The 24,232-nt window shown below is 37.2% G+C and overlaps 1 protein-coding gene across 11 annotated transcripts in view; it reads left to right on the top strand.

The window, feature by feature from the left end:
* TTC29 (tetratricopeptide repeat domain 29) overlaps positions 1-24,232 on the top strand; it is a 239,248-nt gene that overhangs the window by 128,939 nt on the left and 86,077 nt on the right. For 8 of the 11 annotated variants that reach the window (NR_133922.3, NM_001317806.3, NM_031956.4 and 5 more), the window contains one exon: positions 13,241-13,469. Coding sequence is in view for 10 of the 11 variants with exons in the window: in NM_001317806.3 (NP_001304735.1) it covers positions 13,241-13,469 (229 nt within the window). In the remaining variant the exon portion in view is untranslated. The remainder of the gene's footprint in view (positions 1-13,240; positions 13,470-24,232) is intronic. The other 3 variants (XM_006714336.2, XM_005263270.2, XM_047416242.1) reach the window with 1 other exon arrangement.

Here is a 24,232-nt window from a genome sequence, read left to right as displayed (position 1 = left end):
TGGTATTCAAACCCATTCTCCTAACCACTACAGTATTCTGTTGTTTGCCATAAAATTGACTTTATTTCAGAAGGATTTAGGATTTTTTTTAAGGAAATCGAGTTTGAAATTAATTTGAATGAGTGAAACTAATATTTCTTTAGTTCCTGATATAGAGTAAGTGCTTTCAAACAAGGTGTCTCATTTCCTTTTTGTCTTACATCCCCTCTCTTGCTCCCCTGGGCTCATTTGCCTCCCCTCTCTCCTATTACTTGAAATCTAAAAAGTCCCCTTTTCTTCTGGCCCTTCTTCTCCCTGCCTCCCTTACCCATCTTGCTCCCTCCTGTCCTGCATCCTTCCTTCTCGTCCCTCCTCCTTGCTCTCTGACCCCTGGGTCATCCTATCCCTCTCCCCCATCTCCACCACGTTGTTTCCCCTCTTTTTTCGAGTCCTCCCCTGCCTGTTGCTCTAGCTGTGCTCAGGTTTTGCATGTCGTGTGCTTCCTCTGCTACCCTCTGGTTCCCTGCCCATTTCTTTGCCTTTATTGACTCCTCTCTCCTTGATTTTTTATTTGCTTTTGCTTACTTTTTAGGATACAGTGGTGAAAACAGACAAGACCTAAACCCTTGTGAGGCTCACAGTCTAATGAGGGAGCATCTCCTATAGCATAGAAGAAAAGATATAGTATATGAATATATGCAGTATGATATGGTGTATGAATCAACTTGTATATTTGAAGGCATATATATTTGAAGATAGTGCAAATACCCAGAATCCTCCAAATTTTTTGTTAGAATAGGGATGAACTGATGAAATTTAACTTCTGGAAGTTGACACAGCTTTTGGATATTATTTCTTATACCTTAACTTCAGACACTAAACTCTTCTCCAAGAATCAAAAATCGGAGAATTAAATACACATTGCTGAGATATAAACTCTTGGCAAAAACATTAAGAAAATGCAAGTATAAAAATATTGCCCCTCAGAAAAGTTTATTTTCCTTGTGCTTTCTGTTATTAGGAAAATATTGGTTAGCAATGTTCATGTTGTACAGAAGGGCTGGGTTTGGGTGTTGTTTGGAGGTAGGCTAAAAAGTTGTGTTTTTTGCCCTTCTGTTTTGAGGAACAATCCTTTTAAAAGCTCAGATCTCTCCCCTCAATTCCAAATGCATACCCCACCACCTACTTGATGTCTTCACTTAGATATCTTCAACTATAATGTACTAAAAACTGAACTTATTGTTTTTTTCTCTAAATTTTTTCTTCTAACAACTTAAATCTCAACTGCTTTAGAATATTATTTAGGCATTTTCCAGGCAATCTTCTCTTTTTAATCTATGAGCTCCTCTTATCTGCCCCATCCAGGCCCATGGCTTTTAAATACTATCCATATGCCAGTGACTTCCAGATTTGTATCTCCAATCCTGATTTCTCCTGGGACTCCAAACTTTGCAAAGGCAATTGCTTCTTTAGCACCTCCACCCAGATTTCTAACATATTTCAAATGGAACCCACTCCTTTCTACTCTTCTCCACCTTAATAAATAGTAACATTATCCATCCACCCAGTCACTTAAGGCAAAAATCTGAAAATCCTTCAATTCTCCTCTCCCCCGGCTCCATATTCAATCCAAAAGCAAACTCTGACCTTTATGTTACCAAATATATATCTCGAATCCACCCTTTTCCCTCTATCTCTGCAACTGTCACATCAGTTTATGACACTATATTGTCTCATGTAGACACTGCAGTAAGCCCTAAACTCAGCTTCCTGCATGCACTCTCTTCCCTCCCACCCCCGCATAAGCAGAAAGAGGCCAAAGTAATTATTTTAAAATGTAAAATGCGATTTCTCTGCTTAAAATGCTTCCATTACTTCTCATTCTTCTGAGAACATAAACATAAATCCCTACCCTGTCCTAAAATATGAGATAGCCCCACCCCTATCTCTGACCTCATTGCTTCCTACTCCTTTTTATCCACTCCACCATAGCGAATTGACATTCTTGGAGTTCTTTAAGCATGTTAAGCTAGTTCCTGCCTTAGAACATTTGCCTTGGCTGGAATGCTCTACATGAAATGCTCTGAACTTCACATTGCTGGCTTCTTGTCACTCAGATCTCTGTTCAATGCCACCTCTTCAGTGGGGCCTTCCCCTTAGCAACGAAAGAATGGCCATCAAGTCGCCCCCCTCCCCTTTTTTTTTTTTTTTTTTTTTTTTTTGAGATGGAGTCTCGCTCTATTGCCAGGCTGGAGTGCAGTGGCACAATTTCGGCTCGCTGCAACCTCCGCCTCCCGGGTTCAAGTAATTCTCCTGCCTCAGCCTCCTGAGTAGCTGGGACTACAGGCGTGCGCCACCACGCCCAGCTAATTTTTGTATTTTTAGTAGATACAGGGTTTCACCATGTTGGCCATGATGGTCTTGATCTCTTGACCTCATGATCCGCCCACTTCGGCCTCCCAAAGTGCTGGGATTATACGTATGAGCCACCGTGCCCGTCCCCCCACCACCCCCCAACTTTTTTTTAAATAGAAGCAGGGTTTTGTCGTGTTGCTCAGGCTGGTCTTGAACTCCTGGACTCAAAGGATTCTCCTGCTTCAGCCTCCCAGAGTGCTGCGGATTACAGGCATGAGCTGCCCCACCTGGGTCACTCTTTAAAATTACTGTATTTGAATTATCCATGTAGCATTTATCTCATAGTTTTCTTGTTCATGTTATTTTCTTATTATTGTTGTTTAATTTGGCCAAAATGTAAGTTTAATGAGAGCGGAAACTATATCTGCCTCGTTTATTATTCTAGTGTCTAGAAAAAAACCTGGCACAGAATAGGTGATCAAAAACATGTCAGTTCCTTGGACCAATAAATAAATTTGTAACCAGTTTCATACCACTTAAGAGTAGTATTCTCTCACTTGTGAAAGTTCAGACTTCTATTTCATTTTGTCGTTGTTGTTGTTGTTTTGAGACAGAGTTTCACTCTTGTTGCCCAAACTGGAGTGCAGTGGTGTGGTGTCAGCTCACTGCAACCTCTGCCTCCCGGGTTCACGTGATTCTCCTGCCTCAGCCTCCCAAGTAGCTGGGATTACAGGCACATGCCACCCCACCCAGCTAATTTTTGTATTTTTCATAGAGACGGGGTTTCACCATGTTGGCCAGGTTCGTCTCGAACTCCTGCCCTCAAGTGATCCTCCCTCCTCGGCCTCCCAAAGTGCTGGCTACCTACAGGCATGAACCACCATGCCCAGCCTCTATTTCATTTTTGTATAATATTTTAGCATTTTGAAAACTTGTCCTGAAACTTTAAAAGCAAACCCAATATTTTCTGGCTTCATATTACTCCTGCAAGGTATTGTAATTGTATTCTTAACAATTTTCAAGAAATAAAAATATTATAAGACCAAAATTATAATAATTGGAAAAATATTGGAGTTACCTTTTCTGTAATTATTATAGTAATTATAATTAGAATTAGCACATCTTAAAAATATCCTGTATCCTAGTTATTTACCTTTTACTATGTAATCATAGAAAATGGACCACTCATCCTACCCTCCGGGTCTTTTGATGGACTGTTAATTGAAAATATATAACTAGTGTAAAGTGGTCAAATGAGAATGTTTCAGAGGAAATAACTAGGTTTATAAGATTTCTCATTCCTTAATAAAATCATAGACTAATGACATAGTTAAAAAGAATGGTGGTTCCAACGCTAAAATTATAGGGAAAATGGGTAGGAAATGATTTATCCTTAGTACTGAGAAAATGCTCATTTATTTTGAGCTTGCTCATTGAATAGAGTGACATTTTAGACACTAAAAATCAAAATAATGCATGAAAATTCTATGTTATAATGTAATAATTCGAGCGTTGTTCCAAGGTCTATGATGTCATCAAGATCCTGTCCTGGAATTGTCCACTGAATGCTTATCAGGAATATTAATAACATTAAACGAAGTTGTTCTCTTCCCGTAAGATTCATTTAGGATGCATATTGTCAAACTCATATTTGAGATTACCAAGACTAATTACTAGAATCTTCTGAATTTTATAATAGAATAGGGATTATCTGATAACAGAAATAAACTGTAGAAAGTTGTATTTAACCTTTGGAGAAGAGATTTAGACAGTAAACTCTAAGAATTAAACATCCACAAGTACAATATACATTAGCAAAATCTCATTCTAAAATGGTACGTATACAAATGTTTGCATCTTAAAATAATTAATTTTTTATTTCTTTAGTAGTGTTTTAAAATAGAGAAACTAGAAAAACTGGTAGGTTTATATCTATTTAATGTCAGTTGTGTGCATCTACAGATGGAATACTAAGTACAATTTGAGGGAATAATAATTAGCTAATTATAAAGCTCCCATTTTAAGAGTAAAAAGGCACTTATAAATAAGATCTAATCAAAATTTTAGGCATATCACTACTTACACTTAACAGTAACCTCAAAAACTTGAGTGGAAACTCCATTTACTGCTCCTTCTGCATGGCCTGGCATTTGGCCTGGCTCAGCGTGGTTGCCAAATGAATGAATGAGTTAATTTTAACTTAATAACATATAAAAATAACTGGAAATTCATATCTATGTCCACTTATTTGTGGTCTCTAATTTTCCTAATTAAGACTCTCACCTAAAACAATAAATAATTGAAATCTCAGAAATATAATTAGAATATCAATTAGATATTTATACTTTTGTTTCTAAAAAAATGGTTATGTTTGGCCTAATTATATATTTTCATATATTTTGTCCTATGTCTTTTATATCTACCAGGAAAATCTATAATTTTAGTGACATTTATTTTCATCATCTTCAATATTTGTAATATTTGTATGTTTCTCAATTATAGTTTACTTCATTGGCATACAAATATCTTTGATACAGTTTTATTTTTTCTAATTAACTTTTTTTCTTATATAAATTTTATGTTTTATGCCTTGAAGAAAGAGAAAGAATTGTTCACCTCAGCAAACAAAAGTTATTTTTGATGTAATATGGAGAGACTCTGTTTCAATTAACAAAGTTGGTTGAAATGAATCATTTGAATAAACAGTTCTCCTAAACTGTCTGTGTGGGCATATAAGATAGTGTTATATGTGCTCTTCCTGTTTCTAACAAAATGATCACAGAAGTTCTATTTCTCCTCCTCCTCACCTTGCCAGAAATTTCTTTATTCAGTCAGTTTGACCGATCTTGGAGCTTCATGATTATACAGAGGTATGCAGAGTTGAAGATGTGTTTTACCTCTACTTGCTGTAATGGTATAAAGCTGTTCCTGTGTTGTTTTTATGTTCATTTCCTTCATAAAATATTAGAAACTGACAACAACTCATACGGCAAAACTTTCTCCCATGTAAGGGTTTCTGTTCAAAAGAGTGCACATGCATGTTTTTGGTTTTTGTGTGTTTGGTGGGGTGAGGAGGAGAGAGATGAGTGGAAGGGAGGAGATGGTGGAGCCTAAAGGGTTAGAAGTCAGTGAAGAAAGGAAATTTTGTCTCCTAGAGCCTTTACAAATGTAGATCAATCCTAGATAATATCCTCCTCTTAGAAAGAGATTTTCATGAGGATTTTTAGAAGATTTGGGGGTGGCAGAAGATGCTCTTTTCTCTGAGGCTCAATATGATTATCTGTAAAATAAGAATAATATTTTCCTCATAGGGTGACATGTGAAAGTTAATGACATAATATATACGAAGTATTTAGCATTGGCCCCCATGCTTCATAAGAGCCATGTAAACAGTATTTATTTGTGGAGGATAGCTTTTAATAGAGGTGACACTGACTAACAAACAACAACAACAACAAAACCCTGAATTTTTGCAGCTCGAGCTGTTGCAAAGGACTTCTTGAAGAGATATTTAAATGATCATTTGATTGGTGCTAGTGACATCACGATCATATTTTTCAGAAATTTTGGATACTTCAATATTCTCAGTTAAGAAGAATGGCATATGAACATGGGAAAATAAGAGCAGTAAACGAATTAGAGGATAGATACATTTATTTTCACCATCCATTAACTAAATGACTTGGCTGAAATGACCTTTTGCTGTGACTGAAAACAAAACATAGTAATCCCAGCACTTTGGGAAGCGGAGGCGGGTGGATCACTTGAGGTCAGGAGTTTGAAACCAGCCTGACCAACATGATAAAACCCTGTCTCTACCAAACATATAAAAAATTAACTGAGCGTGGTGGCATATGCCTGTAATCCCAGCTACTCGGGAGGCTGAGGCAGGAGAATCGCTTGAACCTGGGAGACAGAGGTTGCGTGAGCTGAAATCATGCCACTGCACTCCAACCTGGGCAACAGAGTGAGAGTCCACCTCAAAAAAAAAAAAAAAAAAAAAGAAGGTATGTAAAAAATATTTCATTAGCTAAATCCAACTCTACGAATAGTAAAATTCCATCCAAATCAATGTGAATTGGTTCACTCATTCCCAAATTTCTTTTTACTACCATGTATTAGGTTGAACCATATGAAACTGCCAATATTTGACCACCTTTTATTGATAAGAACATAAGACTTTTTTTATATATACTTTAAGTTCTGGGATAAATGTGCAGAACATACAGGTTTGTTACATAGGTATACACGTGCCATGGTGGTTTGCTGCACCCATCAACCTGTCATCTATATTAGGTATTTCTTCTAATGCTATCCCTCCCCTAGTCCCCCAGTCCCCAACAGGTATGTGATGTTCCCTTCCCTGTGTCCATGTCTTCTCGCTGTTCAACTCCCACTTATGAGTGAGAACATGCGGTGTTTGTTTTTTCTGTTCCTGTGTTTGCTGAGAATGATAGTGTCTAGCTTCATCCATGTCCATAAAAAGGACATGAACTCATCCTTTTTTATAGCTGCATAGTATTCCATGGTGTATATGTCCCACATTTTCTTTATCCAGTCTATCATTGATGGGCATTTAGGTTGGTTCCAAGTCTTTGCTATTGTGAACAGTGCTGCAATAAACATATGTGTCCATGTGTCTTTATGGTAGAATGATTTATAATCCTTGGGGAATATACCCAGTAATGGGATTGCTGGGTCAAATGGTATTTCTGGTTCTAGATTCTTGAGAAATTGCCACCCTGTCTTCTGCAATGGTTGGACTAATTTACACGCCCACCAACGGATAAAAACGTTTCTATTTCTCCACATTCTCTCCGGCATCTGTTGTTTCCTGAGTTTTTAATGATCACCATTCTAACTGGCATGAGATGGTATCTCATTGTGGTTTTGATTTGCATTTCTCTAATGGCCAGTAATGATGAGCTTTTTTTTCATATGTTTGGTGGCCGCATAAATGTCTTCTTATAAGAAGTGTCTGTTCATATCCTTTGCCCACTTTTTGATGGAGTTGTTTGTTTTTTTTCTTGTAAATTTGTTGAAGTTCTTTGTAGATTCTGGATTTTAGCCCTTTGTCGATTCTGGATTTTAGCCCTTTGTCAGTTGGCTAGATTGCAAAAATTTTCTCCCATTCTGTAGGTTGTCTGTTCACTCTGATGATAGTTTATTTTACTGTGCAGAAGCTCTTTAGTTTAATTAGATCCCATTTGTCAATTTTGGCTTTTGTTGCCATTGCTTTTGGTGCTTTAGTCATGAAGTCTTTGCCCATGCCTATGTCCTGAATGGTATTGCCTAGGTTTTCTTCTGGGGTTTTTATGGTTTTAGGTCTTACGTTTAAGTTTTTAATCCATCTTGAGTTAATTTTTGTATAAGGTGTAAGGAAGGGACCCAGTTTCAGTTTTTTGCATATGGCTAGCCAGTTTTCCCAGCACCATTTATTAAATAGGGAATCCTTTCCCCATTGCTTGTTTTTGTCAGGTTTGTCAAAGATCAGTTGGTTGTAGATGTGTGGCATTATTTCTGAAGACTCTGTTCTTTTCCATTGATCTATATCTCTGTTTTGGTACCAGTACCATGCTGTTTTGGTTACTGTAGCCTTGTAGTATAGTTTGAAGTCAGGTAGCATGATGCCTCCAGCTTTGTTCTTTTTGCTTAGGATTGTCTTGGCTATACAGGCTCTTTTTTTAGTTCCATATGAAATTTAAAGTAATTTTTTCTAAATCTGTGAAGAAAGTCAATGGTAGCTTCATGGGGATAGCATTGGATCTGTAAATTACTTTGGGCAGTATGGCTATTTTCACGATACTGATTCTTCCTATCCATGAGCATGGAATGTTTTTCCATTTGTTTGTGTTCTCTCTTATTTCCTTGAGCAGTGGTTTGCAGTTCTCCTTGAAGAGGTCCTTCACATCCCTGTAAGTTGTATTTCTAGGTATTTTATTCTCTTTGTAGCAATTGTGAATGGGAGTTCACTCATGATTTGGCTCTCTGTCTGTTATTGGTGTATAGGAATGCTTGTGAGTTTTGCACATTGATTTTGTATCCTGAGACTTTGCTGAAGTTGCTTCTCAGCTTAAGGAGATTTTGGGCTGAGATGATGGGGTTTTCTAAATATATAATCATGTCATCTGCAAACAGAGACAATTTGACTTCCTCTCTTCCTATTCAAATACTCTTTATTTATTCCTCTTGCCTGATTGCCCTGGCCAGAACTTCCAATACTATGTTGAATAGGAGTGGTGAGAGAGGACATCCTTCTCTTGTGCCGGTTTTCAAAGGGAATGCTTCCAGCTTGTGCCCATTAAGTATGATATTGGCTGTGGGTTTGTCATAAATAGCTCTTATTATTTTGAGGTACATTCCATCAATATCTAGTTTATCAAGAGTTTTTAGCATGAAGGCATGTTTAATTTTATCGAAGGCCTTTTCTGCATCTATTGTGATAATCATGTGGTTTTTGTCATTGGTTCTGTTTATGTGAGAGATTACGTTTATTGATTTGCGTATGTTGAACCAGCTTTGCATCCCAGGAATGAAGCCAATTTGGTCATGATGAATAAGCTTTTTAATGTGATGCTGGATTTGGTTTGCCCGTATTTTATTGAGGATTTTTGCATCAATGTTCATCAGGGATATTGGCCTGAAATTTTCTTTTTTTGTTGTGTCTCTACCAGGTTTTGTTATCAGGATGATGCCGGCCTCATAAGATGAATTAGGGAGAAGTCCCTCTTTTTCTGTTGTTTGGAATAGTTTCAGAAGGAATGGTACCAGCTCCTCTTTGTACCTCTGATAGAATTTGGCTGTGGATCTGTCTGGTCCTGGGCTTTTTTTGGTTGGTGGGCTATTAATTACTGCCTCAATTTCAGAACTTGTTATTGGTCTATTCAGGGATTTGACTTCTTCCTGGTATAGTCTTGGGAGGGTATATGTGTCCAGGAATTTATCCATTTCTTCTATATTTTCTAGTTATTTGCATAGAGGTATTTATAGTATTCTCTGATGGTAGTTTGTATTTCTGTGAGATCAGTAGTGATATCCCCTTTATCATTTTTTGTTGCATCTATTTGATTCTTCTCTCTTTTCTTCTTGATTATTCTGGCTAGCATTCTATCTGTTTTGTTAATCTTTTCAAAAAACCAGCTCCTGGATTCATTGATTTTTTGAAGGGTTTTTTGTGTCTCTGTCTCCTTCAGTTCTTCTCTGATCTTATTTATTTCTTGCCTTCTGCTAGCTTTTGAATTTATTTGCTCTTGCTTCTCTAGTTCTTTTAATTGTGATGTTAGGGTGTCGATTTTAGATCTTTCCTGCTTTTTCAATGTGGGCATTTAGTGCTATAAATTTCTCTCTACACACTGCTTTAGCTGTGTCCCAGAGATTCTGATACATTGTGTCTTTGTTCTCATTGGTTTCAAAGAACTTATTTATTTCTGCCTTAATTTTGTTATTTACCCAGTAGTCACTCAAGAGCATGTTGTTCAGTTTCCATGTAGTTGTGCAGTTTTGAGTGAGTTTCTTAATCCTGAGTTCTAATTTGATTGCACTGTGGTCTGAGACACTGTTTGTTATGATTTCTATTCTTTTGTATTTTCTAGGGAGTGTTTTACTTCCAATTATGTGGTCAATTTTAGAATAAGTGCGATGTGGTGCTGAGAAGAATGTATATTCTGTTGATTTGGGGTGGAGAGTCCTGTAGATGTCTATTAGGTCTGCTTGGTCCACAGCTGAGTTCAAGTCCTGAATATCTTTGTTAATTTTCTGTCTCGTTGATCCGTCTAATATTGACAGTGGGGTGTTAAATTCTCCCACTATTATTATGTGGGAGTCTAAGTCTCTTTGTAGGTCTCTAAGAACTTGCCTTATTCATCTGGGTGCTCCTGTATGGGGTGCATATGTATTTAGGCTAGTTAGCTCTTCTTGCTTCATTGATCCCTTTACCATTATGTAGTGCCCTTCTTTGTCTTTTTTTTTTTATCTTTGTTGGTTTAAAGTCTGTTTTATCAGAGACTAGGATTGCAACCTCTGCTTTTATTTTGCTTTTCATTTACCTGGTAAATATTCCTTCATCCCTTTATTTTAAGTCTATATGTGCCTTTGCACATGAGATGGGTCTCCTGAATAAAGCACACCGATGGGTCTTCAGTCTTTATCAAATTTGCCAGTCTGTGTTTATTAATTGGGGCATTTAGCCCATTTACATTTAAGGTTAATATTGTCATGTGTGAATTTGATCCTGTCATTACGATGCTAGCTGGTTATTTTGCCCATCAGTTGATGCAGTTTCTTCATAGTGTTGATGGTCTTTACAATTCGGTGTTTTTGCAGTAGCTAGTACTGGTTTTTCCTTTCCATATTTAGTGTTTCCTTCAGGAGCTCTTGTAGGGCAGGCCTGTTGGTGACAAAATCTCTCAGCATTTGCTTGTCTGTAAAGGATTTCATTTCTCCTTAGCTTATGAAGCTTAGTTTGGCTGGATATGAAATTCTGAGTTGAAAATTCTTTTCCTTAAGAGTGTTGAATATTGGCCCCCACTCTCTTCTGGCTTGTAGGGTTTCTCCAGAGAGATCCGCTGTTAGTCTGATGGGCTTCCCTTTGTGGGTAACCCGACCTTTCTCTCTGGCTGCCCTTAACATTGTTTCCTTCATTTTAACCTCGGTGAATCTGACGATAATGTGTCTCAGAGTTGCTCTTCTCGAAGAGTTTTGTGGTGTTCTCTGTATTTCCTGAATTTGAATGTTGGCCTGTCTTGCTAGGTTGGGGAGGTGCTCCCATATAGTATCCTGAAGGGTGTTTTCTAACTTGGATCCATTCTGCCCATCACTTTCAGGTACACCAATCAAATGTAGATTTGGTCCTTTCACATAGTCCCATATTTCTTGGAGGCTTTATTTATTCCTTTTCTTCTTTTTTCTCTAATCTTGTCTTCACACTTTATTTCATTAAGTTGATCTTCAATCCCTGATATCCTTTCTTCTGCTTGATCGATTCAGCTATTGATACTTTTGTATGCTTCACGAAGTTCTTGTGCTGTGTTTTTCAGTTCCATCAGGTAATTTATGTTCTTTTCTAAACTGGTTATTTTAGATAGGAATTCATCTAACCTTTTGTCAAGGTTCTTAGCTTCCTTGAATTGGGTTAGAACATGGTCCTCTAGCTCGGAGGGATTTTTTATTACCCACCTTCTGAAACCTACTTCTGTCAGTTTGTCAACCTCATTTTCCATCCAGTTTTGTTCCCTTTTTGGTGAGGAGTTATGATCCTTTGGAAGAGAAGAGGTGTTCTGGTTTTTGGAATTTTCAGCCTTTTTGTGTGGTTTTTTCCTCATCTTTGTGGATTTATCTACCTTTGGTCTTTGATGTTGGTAATCTTCGGATGGCATTTCTGGGTGCACATCCTTTTTGTTGATGTTGATGCTATTCCTTTATGTTTGTTAGTTTTCCTTCTAACAGTCAGGCCCCTCTCCTGCAGGGCTGCTGGAGTTTGCTGGAGGTGCACTCCAGACCCTGTTTGCCTGGGTATCACCAGCGGGGCTGCAGAACAGCAAAGATTGCTGCCTGTTCCTTCCTCTGGAAGCTTCGTCCCAGAGGGGCACCCTCCAGATGCCAGCTAGAGCTCTCCTGTATGAGGTGTCTGTCGACCCCTGCTGGGAGATGTCTCTCAGTCAGGAGGCATGGGGGTCAGGGACCCACTTGAGGAGGCAGTCTGTCCCTTAGCAGAGCTTGAGCACTGTGCTGGCAGATCCACTGCTCTCTTCAGGGCCGGCAGGCAGGAAAATTTAAGTCTGCTGAAGCTGCGCCCACAGCCTCCCTTCCCCGAGGTGCTGTGTCCCAGGGAGATGGGAGTTTTATCTATAAGCCCCTGACTGGGGCTGCTGCCTTTCTTTCAGAGATGCCCTGCCCAGAGAGGCGTAATCTAGAGAGGCGGTCTGGCTACAGGGTCTTTGGGGAGCTGTGGTGTGCTCCACCCAGTTGGAACTTCCCAGAGGCTTTCTTTACACTGTGAGGGGAAAACTGCCTACTCAAGCCTCCATAATGGTGGGCCCCCCTCCCCCCACCAACTTCGAGCATCCCAGGTTGACTTCAGACTGCTATGCTGGCAGTGAGAATTTCAAACCAGTGGATCTTAGTTTGCTTGGCTCCCTGCAGGTGGGATTCGCTGAGCTAGATCACTTGGCTCCCTGGCTTCAGCCTCCTTTCCAGGGGAGTGAATGGTTCTGTCTTGCTTGCATTCCAGGCAACACTGGAGTGTGAAAAAAAAACTCCTGCAGCTAGCTCAGTGTCTACCCAAACAGCCGCCCTGTTTTGTGCTCAAAACCCATAGGCACCAGAGGGAATCTCCTGGTCTGTGGGTTGCGAAGACCATGGGAAAAGCATAATACCTGGGCCACAGAGCACCATTCCTCACAGCACAGTCCCTCACAGCTTCCCTTGGCTAGATGAGGGAATTCCTCAACCCCTTGCACTTCCCAGGTGAAGCAATGCCCCACCCTGCTTCAGCTTGCCCTCCATGGGCTGCACCCACTGTCTAACACTTCCCAAAGAGATGAGCCGGTTACCTCAGTTGGAAATGCAGAAATCACCTGCCTTCTGTGTTGAGCTCACTGGATGCTGCAGACCAGAGCTGTTCCTATTCAGTCATCTTGCCAGACATTGCAGAACTTAAGTCTTATATAGCTTAGTCTAATAGATACAACTTTCCTACTAAGTTAATTTCAAGATATTGAATGGTGAGTAATCACAGGTCTTTAAAAGAAACTTATCCTAATAGCCTGCTTGCCATCTGTTTCTTCTTGAAGATGAACTGCTGTAACTGTCGAAAGGTCAGTGTGGGACATGCCAGGGTAAGGTCAGAAAATATGTGAAATGGTGACATTAAAAGTAAGAAAGAAAATTATTTCTCTTACCTTTTTAGGGATACTACAACAAAGCTTCTGAATGCTTTCAGCAAGCTTTTGACACAACAGTAGAGCTAATGAGCATGCCTCTGATGGATGAGACAAAAGTTCACTATGGAATAGCAAAAGCTCATCAGATGATGCTTACAGTGAACAACTATATAGAGTCTGCAGATCTCACCAGCCTCAACTACCTGCTGTCATGGAAGGAGAGCAGAGGTAACATTGAACCTGATCCAGTTACTGGTAAGGCATTGGTTTTTAGAACACTTTAGTTTTCATATCATTCTCAATGATTAATTTACTTTCATTGGAAAGTTTCACTCAAATGTCGGTGATTTTAATTTGATTGGTAATTTCAATTTTATGGATCCATTACTACATGAAGGTTGGATATACTTTTGTGCTAAATTATACCTTTGATGTTTAAGAGAAGCATAAAATAGTGGTAATAATGTGGTGTACCTGATAAATCACCATTCTCATGCTGTTTTTTTTTTCACCAGTTATCTTAGTCAACAATAGGTACTGATGAGGCATAAGGAATGTGAAATAAGCTTATGCTTTTTTAGCATGCGCCATGTTATACCTTACTGAAAAGAGTGACTGTAGATGAATGCTAATTTGTTTTATGCGCTTACTTTACTGATAAGTATTTTTATCAGTTTGAGTTGGAATATTAATTTAGAAAATAGTTGGTAGTAATCTTTCTCAATTCTACTTTTTTGCCACATGCTTTTTCTTATTCAATAGAATTGAAGAATTCTATTCAAAATAGTAAATTAAAACCAAACAACTAGAAGGGATGCAGGGGTCAGTATTATGTGCCAACTAGGTTTGGCTCTAGTTCCCAGTTAAGAACTTTAGAATGGGATATTTTAAAAACCAAAACAATATAAAATAAAAAACAATACTGCCTATGACAGCCTTTAGAGTTCTTTTATTTGTGTGCAAATCAAACTTTTTAAAGTAAAATATTTTGGCATAACTCAAATGGAATCATAAGGCAAACCTTTTGTAATGTGAAGTATCTTCTATTTGATTTGAACTCTTTGTTTTCCCCTGTGGTCATTTAGATGAAACAACAATCTATTTTGATATTTATTTATTTCCTCCATAGAATAAATTGTAAATAATAGCAAATTAAGCACAAATAAGTTTTGTTGACTTTTTTAGGTCAGTAGAATACTACTTAACTACCCACCGTCCTCTAGTTATAAAAAAGAGGAAAGATCTTCTTCCAAATACATCCATAGTAAGAGAAAACAAGATGAAGTCTTCAAAAAATTGGCAGCTTCTTGAATTTCAGTGTGTTCAAACACCCCCAAAATATTTACAGTCCATTATTAACTGACTGCTTTCAGGTCATATTGTGCTTACTTCAGCATGCTGTCTTGTCATCACGTATTTGAGAGGTCTGTAGTTTTGAGTTATGTATCCTTCAGGTTCGCATATTTTCTGCCCAGAATGGCAGAAAACAATGCAGAGGAAACATGACCTATATTAGATTACTTATTCTGATGAAGGTTTAGTAGAAGATGAGTAAAGCTTCTCACATTTTCAGATTTATTTTGGATAAACTCCAATCATCACAATGGTAATTATGAAAAAAAAAATACTCCTGAAAACAGTATCTTCTGATCAGATCTATGTCTATTCGAGGCCATCCTGATTTTCGCTTTAAAAAAGTCTCTTTTTTTTTTTTTTTTTTTTTTTTTTTTTTTGAGACAGAGTCTCGCTCTGTTGTCCAGGCTGGAGTGCAGTGGCATGATCTCGGCTCACTGCAAGCTCTGCCTCCCGGGTTCACACCATTCTCCTGCTTCAGCCTCCTGAGGAGCTGGGACCACAGGCACCCAACCATGACGCCCGGCTAATTTTTTTTGTATTTTTAGTAGAGATGGGGTTTCACAGTCTTAGCCAGGATGGTCTTGATCTCCTGATCGCATGATCTACCCATCTTGGCCTCCCAAACTGCTGGGATTACAGGCGTGAGCCACTGCACCTTGCTCTTTTGTTTTTCTTTATTCTGTAAAACTATTTATTTTTCTATACTTTTTATGTTTTATTTCCATGTTTTTGTAAGGTCATTTTTTTTTCCAACAGGACTTAGGAGCAGAACAAAAGCATATCAAAATATTATTCAGATATTAAAAACAGCTATTTGTATGGTAGAGGGGGGCAGATTAAGTTGTTCAGAATGCTATAAAATAAAACACTCCTTTGCTGATTTATTTCACCTACATTAGAAATATATGCATGGATGAGCCACAATATTATAAAACTGAAAAATAATAACCTTTTGGGTCCAAGTACAAGTGAGAAATTAATTCTCATACTACTGGCATGGTTTAACATTTTCAGGGGTAGCCCTTCTATTTGGAAAATAAAATCTGTAGGATATTATCAAACAGGTTTGTTTACATAAACATATTTTTTAGTTCAAAAGACGTGAAATTCTGCTTTAAAATGCTTCAAAAATACTTCTTGAACCACAACTCTTAACACCATCTCTGCTCTGCTTAAAAAATCTTCCTCGGCTCCCCACTGCCTGTTCATTAAATACAAGCTTCTCAATCTTTTCTGACCACTTCCCTCCCCTGTCCTCTGCCACTCCCCCTGCCCTCAGCATACCACATGGTTTATTATCACCTACTTTCAGTTCTAGCCCCATCCAGGAAAATCTTGCCCGTTTTGCTAGGTCATTCTCAAATGCTGAAACCCTCCATGATGCCCTCTTATTTAAATGTGGTCTCTTCTCTGTCCCACATTGAATGTCATTCATTTCTCTCCACTCGCTTTTCATTTGGCATATTCTGCATCCTACCACGGCCATTTCTGTAATCGCCTTAACTGCCTGATTAAGGGTAAAAGTCTCTTGAAAACAGGCCCTTGTTCTTGGTATTCCCTACAAAAGAAGACACGATGTTTGGCATCTACTAGGTACCAAGTAAATATTTGTTGAATCAAATAGAATTCAAAATGAGTATGTATGCCCTAATCATAAACTAGTTTGCATTAACGACTTTTTAAACAAAATGTGTAGTATCCCCCCTTCTTGGAAAACCTGTGATCCAACACTGTATTTTGATTACCATCCAATTATCACATGAATGAAGGATGACACTCACCCAACATGATGTCAACAAAATGAAAAAATACAAAAATATTATTTGGAAATCTGAGCAGCTTTTAAGTTTTCAACTTTTGCCTTTCTTCTAAGAAAAGGCATCTTTAATCTTGCCATTGAAGAGTCCCATGTATTCAGAAAAAAAACAGATCAAAGATCTGAAAGATACATTTTAAAAGCTGTGCAGTTATCTTCACCTCTGAGACTTCCATCCTCCAAACAAATCATTAGCTCAGAGAGCAGGCAATATTCTTTTAAGCAGAGGAACATGACCCCCTAAGGGAATAGAGCAGTGAGAGCATTCAGGTCTCTAGATGAAATAGAACAGTGACTCACCAGCAATCATCTCTCATCTTTATACCTTTCAGAGGGAACACAGCAAATGTAGGCACCTTCATTCTATTCTAAGACTCTTAGATATGGTTAGACCTGAGTGCTTATTCTTTCTTTCCAATATTAAAATAAGAATAGATTATCCTCCCAAACTTAGGGATTTAGAAGAAATTCAAATTGATTGCAGTTCAATAAAATTGTTCATCCTAAATCAACTGAAATTGTTTGGCTCCAGAAGGCTTAAGAGCCCATGAATTTCTGCTGATTTCTCCAGAATATAGTTTACTTTCCTTACTAGAGCTATTATCTCTACAATCAAGAAGAATTTTTTTAAATGAAAGGCTCATTCATCTGGCCTTTTGGAGATCTCAGACCCACATGTGGAACAGCAACACAGAAGCAAAAGCTTTCCATATTCAACTTAATAGCAGTGTCAACCTAGAAATGTAATTATAGCCATTTAAATACCAATATTGTTAACCACTTCACTGATAATAATTATATCAGTAACATGGTTTTCATGTACTTTCTTATTGTAGCCAAATGTAAATGACATCAGAGAAATAAGATGCAAATCCTGACTATAGAAATATAGTAGATTAAACTGCTGGCAGTCAGTACTTAAAGACACTGTTTTCTACAAAATGGCATGTAAAGGTTTCCTTGACTGGCAACGATATCATCGTAGTTTTATGCATCATTTAGTATTCTTAAAAGAGAATGATCAAAACCATGACTTTGTCTCACAGCCCTTGGTTTATGTTGGCTTAATGTGGGTCCCTGGGCTTAATATTGAGTCATGTTTTTGTAACCTGTTCCTTGCTTGTATTTTTCATTCATGAACTCAACCCTTTAAAAAAAATGAAAAAAAATCACACTCACTAGTGATCCTCAGCTTTTATTACAATCAGCTACTTCTGTTGGTTATTAACTTTAATAATGAGGAGGAGGTCATGGAATTAGCCAAAAAGTCAGCAAGCAAGTAGGTTTCATCCATCTTATAATCACAGAGGAACTCTCTGTCTTTAATAATGTTTTCATAACCAACACAAAGAAAAAGAAGAATCTGGTGAAAAATATGACTGAATCAAAGCTCACCTACTGGCAGCTTGGTGTCATTCAGAGAGGCTACTAGTCAAGAGTCCAGTGATCTGAGCTCTAACATCATATTGAGCACTAATTAGCTTTGTGACTTTCAGCAAAAGATTTCATTTTGTGTCCTTAACCTGTTACCTGAGGTTCAAAATATATGTCGACAAGATTCCTCTGGAACTGACCATGATTTCTCAGTAAGAGCATCTTTCTCACTAAATATGGTATTTTGTAGTCTTTTTTTTTTTTTTTTTTTTTTTTTTTGAGACGGAGTCTGGCTCTGTCACCCAGGCTAGAGTGCAGCGGTGCAATCTCGGCTCATTACAAGCTCCGTCTCCCAGGTTCATGCCATTCTCCTGCCTCAGCCTCCCGAGTAGCTGGGACTACAGGTGCCCGCCCCAATACCTGGCTAATTTTTTCTATTTTTAGTAGAGACGGGGTTTCACTGTGTTACCCAGGATGGTCTCAATCTGACCTCGTGATCCACCTGCCTCGGCCTCCCAAAGTGCTGGGATTACAGGCATGAGCCACCATGCCTAGCCCGGCCAGTATTTTGTAGTCTTTAAGAGTACAATCTAGATGTTCATGAGCATTTTATTTGTTGTTTTTCTCCCCACAAACATCGGCTTCTGTGAGTTTCCACAAAAGGAAACTTATTATTATCATTATTTTTATTATATATTAAACAACTATAGGAAGACCAAGTGTATTTGATCCTTCTGCTAGAATTTATAATAAAAGTTTTACTTTTCCCTGGTTGGCACTCTTGAGGCTGCTAATCTTAGTGAACTATTTTATCTGAAGACTTTAATTCATCCTCCTGTATCCAATCCTGTGTCTTACTTCCCCTTAGCATTTCCTCAACCCTACCCTATCCCCCGCTGTTCCTGGGGCTCCTGATTTCTGAATATTCCTGCTTTTCTCCTCATGATTATTCCTCTTCATATACTTTACTTTGTGGCTACCTCTTCCCTCCTAAATCTGATGCCACTCCTATATCCTATAGTCCATATGTTCAAGTAGGTAGTAGGAACTTAAAGAGTCATGGAATAAAATGTCCAAGATGAAAAATAAATTGAATGGGATTAGCAGCAGATTACACAATGCAAAGGAAAAGGTTAGTGAACTTGAAGACATAGCAATAGAAACTATTCACAATGAAATACTGTGAAAAAATACTGAAAAAAAAATTGAACAGAGAATGTCAGAGAACTGTGGGTCAACTTCAAGAAGCCTAATATATGATTGAATTGGAGGCCCCAAAGGAGAGGGAAAAGAAGAGAGAACGAATATATATATATATATATATATATATATAAAACAAAGTAATCAGTGGCCAGTTGTTTTACAAATTTGATTTAAGAAAAACCACAAACTGGAATTTAAGAAGCCCAGTAAACTGTAAGCAAAAGAAACATGAAGAAACTAAATGGAGGCATACCATAGTCAGTGCTTGAAATCAGTGATAAAAAGAAATATGTTAAAGCAGCCAGGGTGAGGTGGGAGAGGAAGGACACTACATACAGAGACAGGACAAACAAAAAAAACCAGAAAGATCTTTGTAAAAAATACAGTTCAGAAGAAGATATTTAAAGTACTGAAATAAAAAAAAATAAGCATCAAACCTAGAATTGTATACTCAGTGAAAATATCTTTCAAAACCATAGGCAAAATAAAGCTTTTGCCAACCATATAAAAGCTGAGAGAATTAATCACTAAACATCAGTACAAGAAATGTTACAGTCCTACACACTGAAGGAAAAGGGATTCATTTTGAAATCTGCATCTGTGCAAAGAAATGAAGAACATGAAAATTAGAAATATGTCAGTAAAAATAATTTTTCTTTTTAAATTTGCTTTAAAAATAATTGGTTAATGCAAACAAATAATAACGCATTGTAGGGTTTATAACAAATGTGAAAGTAAATGTAAATTAAATGGAGAAATCTGATTTTGTAGAGGCACCTTCAGTTTCCACCAGGCAGACAACTGCCAGCCTGGGGTCCACCATAGCTCAATATTTGAACTGAATGTTGTCAGTGCTCATCAGTCTCTTCTTTGGGAACTCACTGTTTTAGCATCCATATCTCATTGCCTAGTTGTTGGGTTCCTCTAAAAGGGATTTGTTTTTAATTTTGACCTTTTTTTTTCTTAGATTACACAAACTTTACCTGGCTAAGGGTGGGTGATATATTTTGATACTGGGTATTTTGGGGCCCCAGATCATCACAGCCTACTGCACAAAGGGGCCTTCTAATGTCAGCTTTGTGGATTCTGATGGCTTTCTATTTGCTATGAGAAATTGTTTCAGACTCATGGCATACATCTTTGCATCCAGACCTGGAATCTACCATTTCTACAAGGAGCCCCAACAAAAGAAATTTTTGAAAAAGCAAAAGTAACTTCTAAAAATCTAAAAATAAATAAACAGATAAAGCCAATGACCCTAAATATGTATCCAGTTGGTGATATAATCACACAGGAAGGAAAAATTCCAGATGGCTTTAAAACAGAGAAATTTGACCATACATCTCTAATGGATTATATCCTAAAAAATGCCTCCCACCCAAAAAATCTAAAATTTTTTTTCAGTAGTCATGTTATTGGTGTTGATGTTGACATTATTATTATGATGTGTGTTTTAGAAGACATTAAATGGATAATTACTAAATATACTAAGTATTTTATTCAGTGTCCCTATGGACAAAAATTCTCACCTTGTGTAAGTTTCTCATTTGAAAATTGGGGTGCAACAGAGGTGATTAGACTACATGATCTCTCTGAATTCCTTTTTTTGTTCTTTAAATCTATGATTCCTAGCTTTCTGAGAAAATTCTTATGCTTTTAAGTTTTATTTTACTCTAATTGAATTTAAGATAATCCTAAAAACTAATGAAATTATTATGGGTTTTTAAAACATCATTCTCCCTGATATGGTTTTCAACACTTCTTTTAGATTCTGCTCACAGTTCTTGGTAGCTGGTGGTGTTACCAGTTTTAACTTTCCAATCTACACTGAACTCATCATCACTTGTAAGAAAAATGTAGCTGGGTTTCTCTAATCTGATTTTATTTCAACTTTGTCTTTAATTGCTAGTTTGAGGAGCTTATGAAAAGTTTTCAGTTAAACCATAGCAAAACGAGAGTGAATCAGTAGAAAGGAAGAGTTGGAGAACTCAGCTGTCACCCCATTTATATTTGTCTCATTCTCAGCAAGGGTCTTACCTCTGCCTCTAGCTATGTCATTTGGCCTGTGGCCACGGATTCCAAATATTATACCAGTTCAGCTAGATGCTTTCTACCATTGCTAGAATTTGGAAGCAAAATGATCCTCTCCTATGTGTATTTAATCCTTTTTTGGTAAGGCTTTCTTAGGACAATTCTAGTGGTTCTTGGTCCATAAGATTTCTTCTGAAAAAAGAAGCAATATGACTGTATTTAAAACATGAACACATTAAAGGCACATGTGTTGTTGGCTTCTGATTCTTTTAAACTTTTCCTGATTCAGGGTTTTTTAGAAAAAATATATTCATGGTCCCATAATTTACTTTTCTTAATGTTGTTTTACTCTGTCTTCCCTGCCTTTTTAACTCCCAGATGAGGATAAATATTCTGTGATCTAGATTATTTAGCATAATTAATACAAAAATAAATGCTTTTCATGACAAATATCGCTTTACAAATTATTTCCAATGCCTTATCCCTGGATACATATTTCACTTCTGGTGGATGATGTCTGGAATGATGTCTGCCTCCTGGTGATGGGTCAGTGGGCCCAGTATAGGAAATGCTGGGCAAGACACTAATGACAAGAAGTAGTAGCATATGTCTTCATTTTAATGCCAGTCCATCCTGACCAGTGTTTTCATCTTCCTGGAATGAATTTTTGAATCACTATGAATGTACCTGCACACATTTACTTTCTTACTCCTCTGAACTACTGTGGCAATGAAATAAATATTAAAAGGACTAACCAATATTCACCATACCCAAATCTTTTCACACTACATTATACTCACGTTTTCTCTTCCTTTCATTTCATTCTAAACTTCAGTCAAAAAGCCTGAGAAAATAGGCATTCTTTTACCATGCTCTTAAGGTAAACAAAGTTGGACTTTGTCAAACCAATAGGAAAAACTAAAGTTAGTTCACTTAAGTGCTATTTCTTTGAGGGATTGCATTTATTAACCTCTAATATGAAATCAGATACCTAAAAGGAGAAAAAGCTGAGTTAATTTCAAACTTTAGTGAGATAAGTCTGATTTCTCTGAATTAAGACTGTGCATTTCCATTTACCTATGTAACACACCTGCACATCCTGCACGTGTACCCTGGAACTTAAAATTAAATTTTTTTAAAAAAAGGCTGTGTATTTCATGATATCGGCAGCTAATCAAGTATATTTTGCATTATTACCAAAAGAAGTTTAGTGCAACCCTTCAAAGGGCTTCTAGCCTTGCTTATGAGATAGTAAGCTCCTAAGGAGGGAAACAGTTTTCCAGTTTCCACATATTTTTAATTCTAATACTAACGTATCAGTGGGGAAAAATGAAATGAAATGAAGCTTCAAGATCAATAGGAAAAGAAAGGGTGAGAAAACTTGGGAAAATTTGGTCAAAATAACCATCTTAAAACTTTGAGATTAATATTTATACTGTACCGTACAGATTTATTTGGCCCAAGTTTTTACCATCACCAGCTAACAGGATTATGGAAAAGGGGAAATAAACTATGCAAGAGGAAGCTATCACATTCATCCTTTAGCTACTAATTTCCTTCTATCATAATATGAAAAAACTAATTGTGTTGAATACAATGTGAGCAAAAGAAACAATATTTTTTCATTAAAATCTTAGTAGGCATGGATGAGCAGGCTATTATAATTTGATCACAGGAATATTCCCTAAAAATATAGATGGCCAAATAGCTACATTAACTACCTCTCATGTGAATGACTTCATTCGTCCACTCACCTTTATCCAGGGCTTTAAATTGTAATCACTTTTGAAGATTTGTATGATGAATTGTGAATATAGTATTTTTTTAGTAATTTGATTGGCAGGAAATAAGAAGCAAAACATTACAAGCACAGCTTTTTAATAATTTATCATTACTTACATGAATCTACTAAGTTTGGGCACACAATTATATGACTAATTATGTTGAAAATCCAAGTGGATGCTTAAATAGATGACCATGCCCTGAGGCCCTTCCAGTTGTTTCTGCTGTCTCATTTAACCATGCAAATGTTATTAAGCATTCCTGGCTAAAAATTTTCAAGCATGTGCAAGTGTAATTGCATAGGTAATCATGCATAATGCTGTCACTTACCATATCTAACATAGGAATTTTTCTTTTTTAAAAAACTTCAGCTTTCTACTGGATAGAGTTCTCAGTACAAATATGATTTATAAAAGATAAGTAGATGAAAACCAACCTATTGCTTTTCTTCAGGGCCTCTCCTAGACTCTCTTTTGCACATCAATTTGAAGGAAAAGAGAAAAATATCAAGCCAAATAGAGGCATACCTTGGAGATATTGTGGGTTCAGTTCCAGATCATTGCAATAAAGCGAGTCACACAAATTATTTGGTTTCTTAGTACATATAAAAGTTATGCTTACACTGCACTTTAGTCTGTTAGGTGTGCAATAGCATTTTTCTAAAAAAAAATGTACATACCTTTATTAAGAATACTTTATTACTAAAAACAAAATGCTAATTGTCATCTGAGCCTACGGCAAGTCATAATCATTTTGCTGGTGGAGAGTCTTCCCTTGATGTTAATGGCTGTTGATTGATCAGGGTGGTGGTTGCTGAAGATTTGGGTGGCTCTGGTAATTTCTTAAAATAGGACAATAATGCAGTTTGTCACATTGATTGACTCTTCCTTTCACAAAAGATTTCTCTGTAGTATGCAATGCTGTTTGATAGCATTTTACCCACTGTAGAACTTCTCTTAAAATTGGAGTCAAACCTCTCAAACTCTACCACTGTTTTATCAACTAAATTTATGTAATATTCTTTGTTGTCATTTCAACAATGTTCACAGTATCTTCACCAGTAGTAGATTCCATCTCAAGAAACCACTTTATTTGCTTATCCATAAGAAGCAACTCCTCATTTATTCAAGTTTGATTATGGGATTGCACCAATTCACTCAGATATTCAGGCTCCACTTCTAATTCTAGTTCTCTTGCTATTTCCACCACAACTGCAGTGAATTTCCCCACTGAAATCTCAAACCTCTCAAAGTCATCCATGAGCGCTGCAATCAACTTCTTCCAAATTCCCATAACTATTGATATATTTTGACCACCTCCCATAGATCATAAATGTTCTTAATGGCATCTAGAATGATGAATCCTTTATAGAAGATTTTCCATTTACTTTTACCAGATCCATCAGAAGAATCAACTACCTATGGAAGCTAAAGCCTTACAAAATATTTCTTAAATA

The sequence above is a fragment of the Homo sapiens genome, chromosome 4 (assembly GCF_000001405.40).
Source record: "Homo sapiens chromosome 4, GRCh38.p14 Primary Assembly".
Taxonomy (NCBI): domain Eukaryota; kingdom Metazoa; phylum Chordata; class Mammalia; order Primates; family Hominidae; genus Homo; species Homo sapiens.
This window is presented reverse-complemented; position numbering and strand designations above follow the sequence as displayed.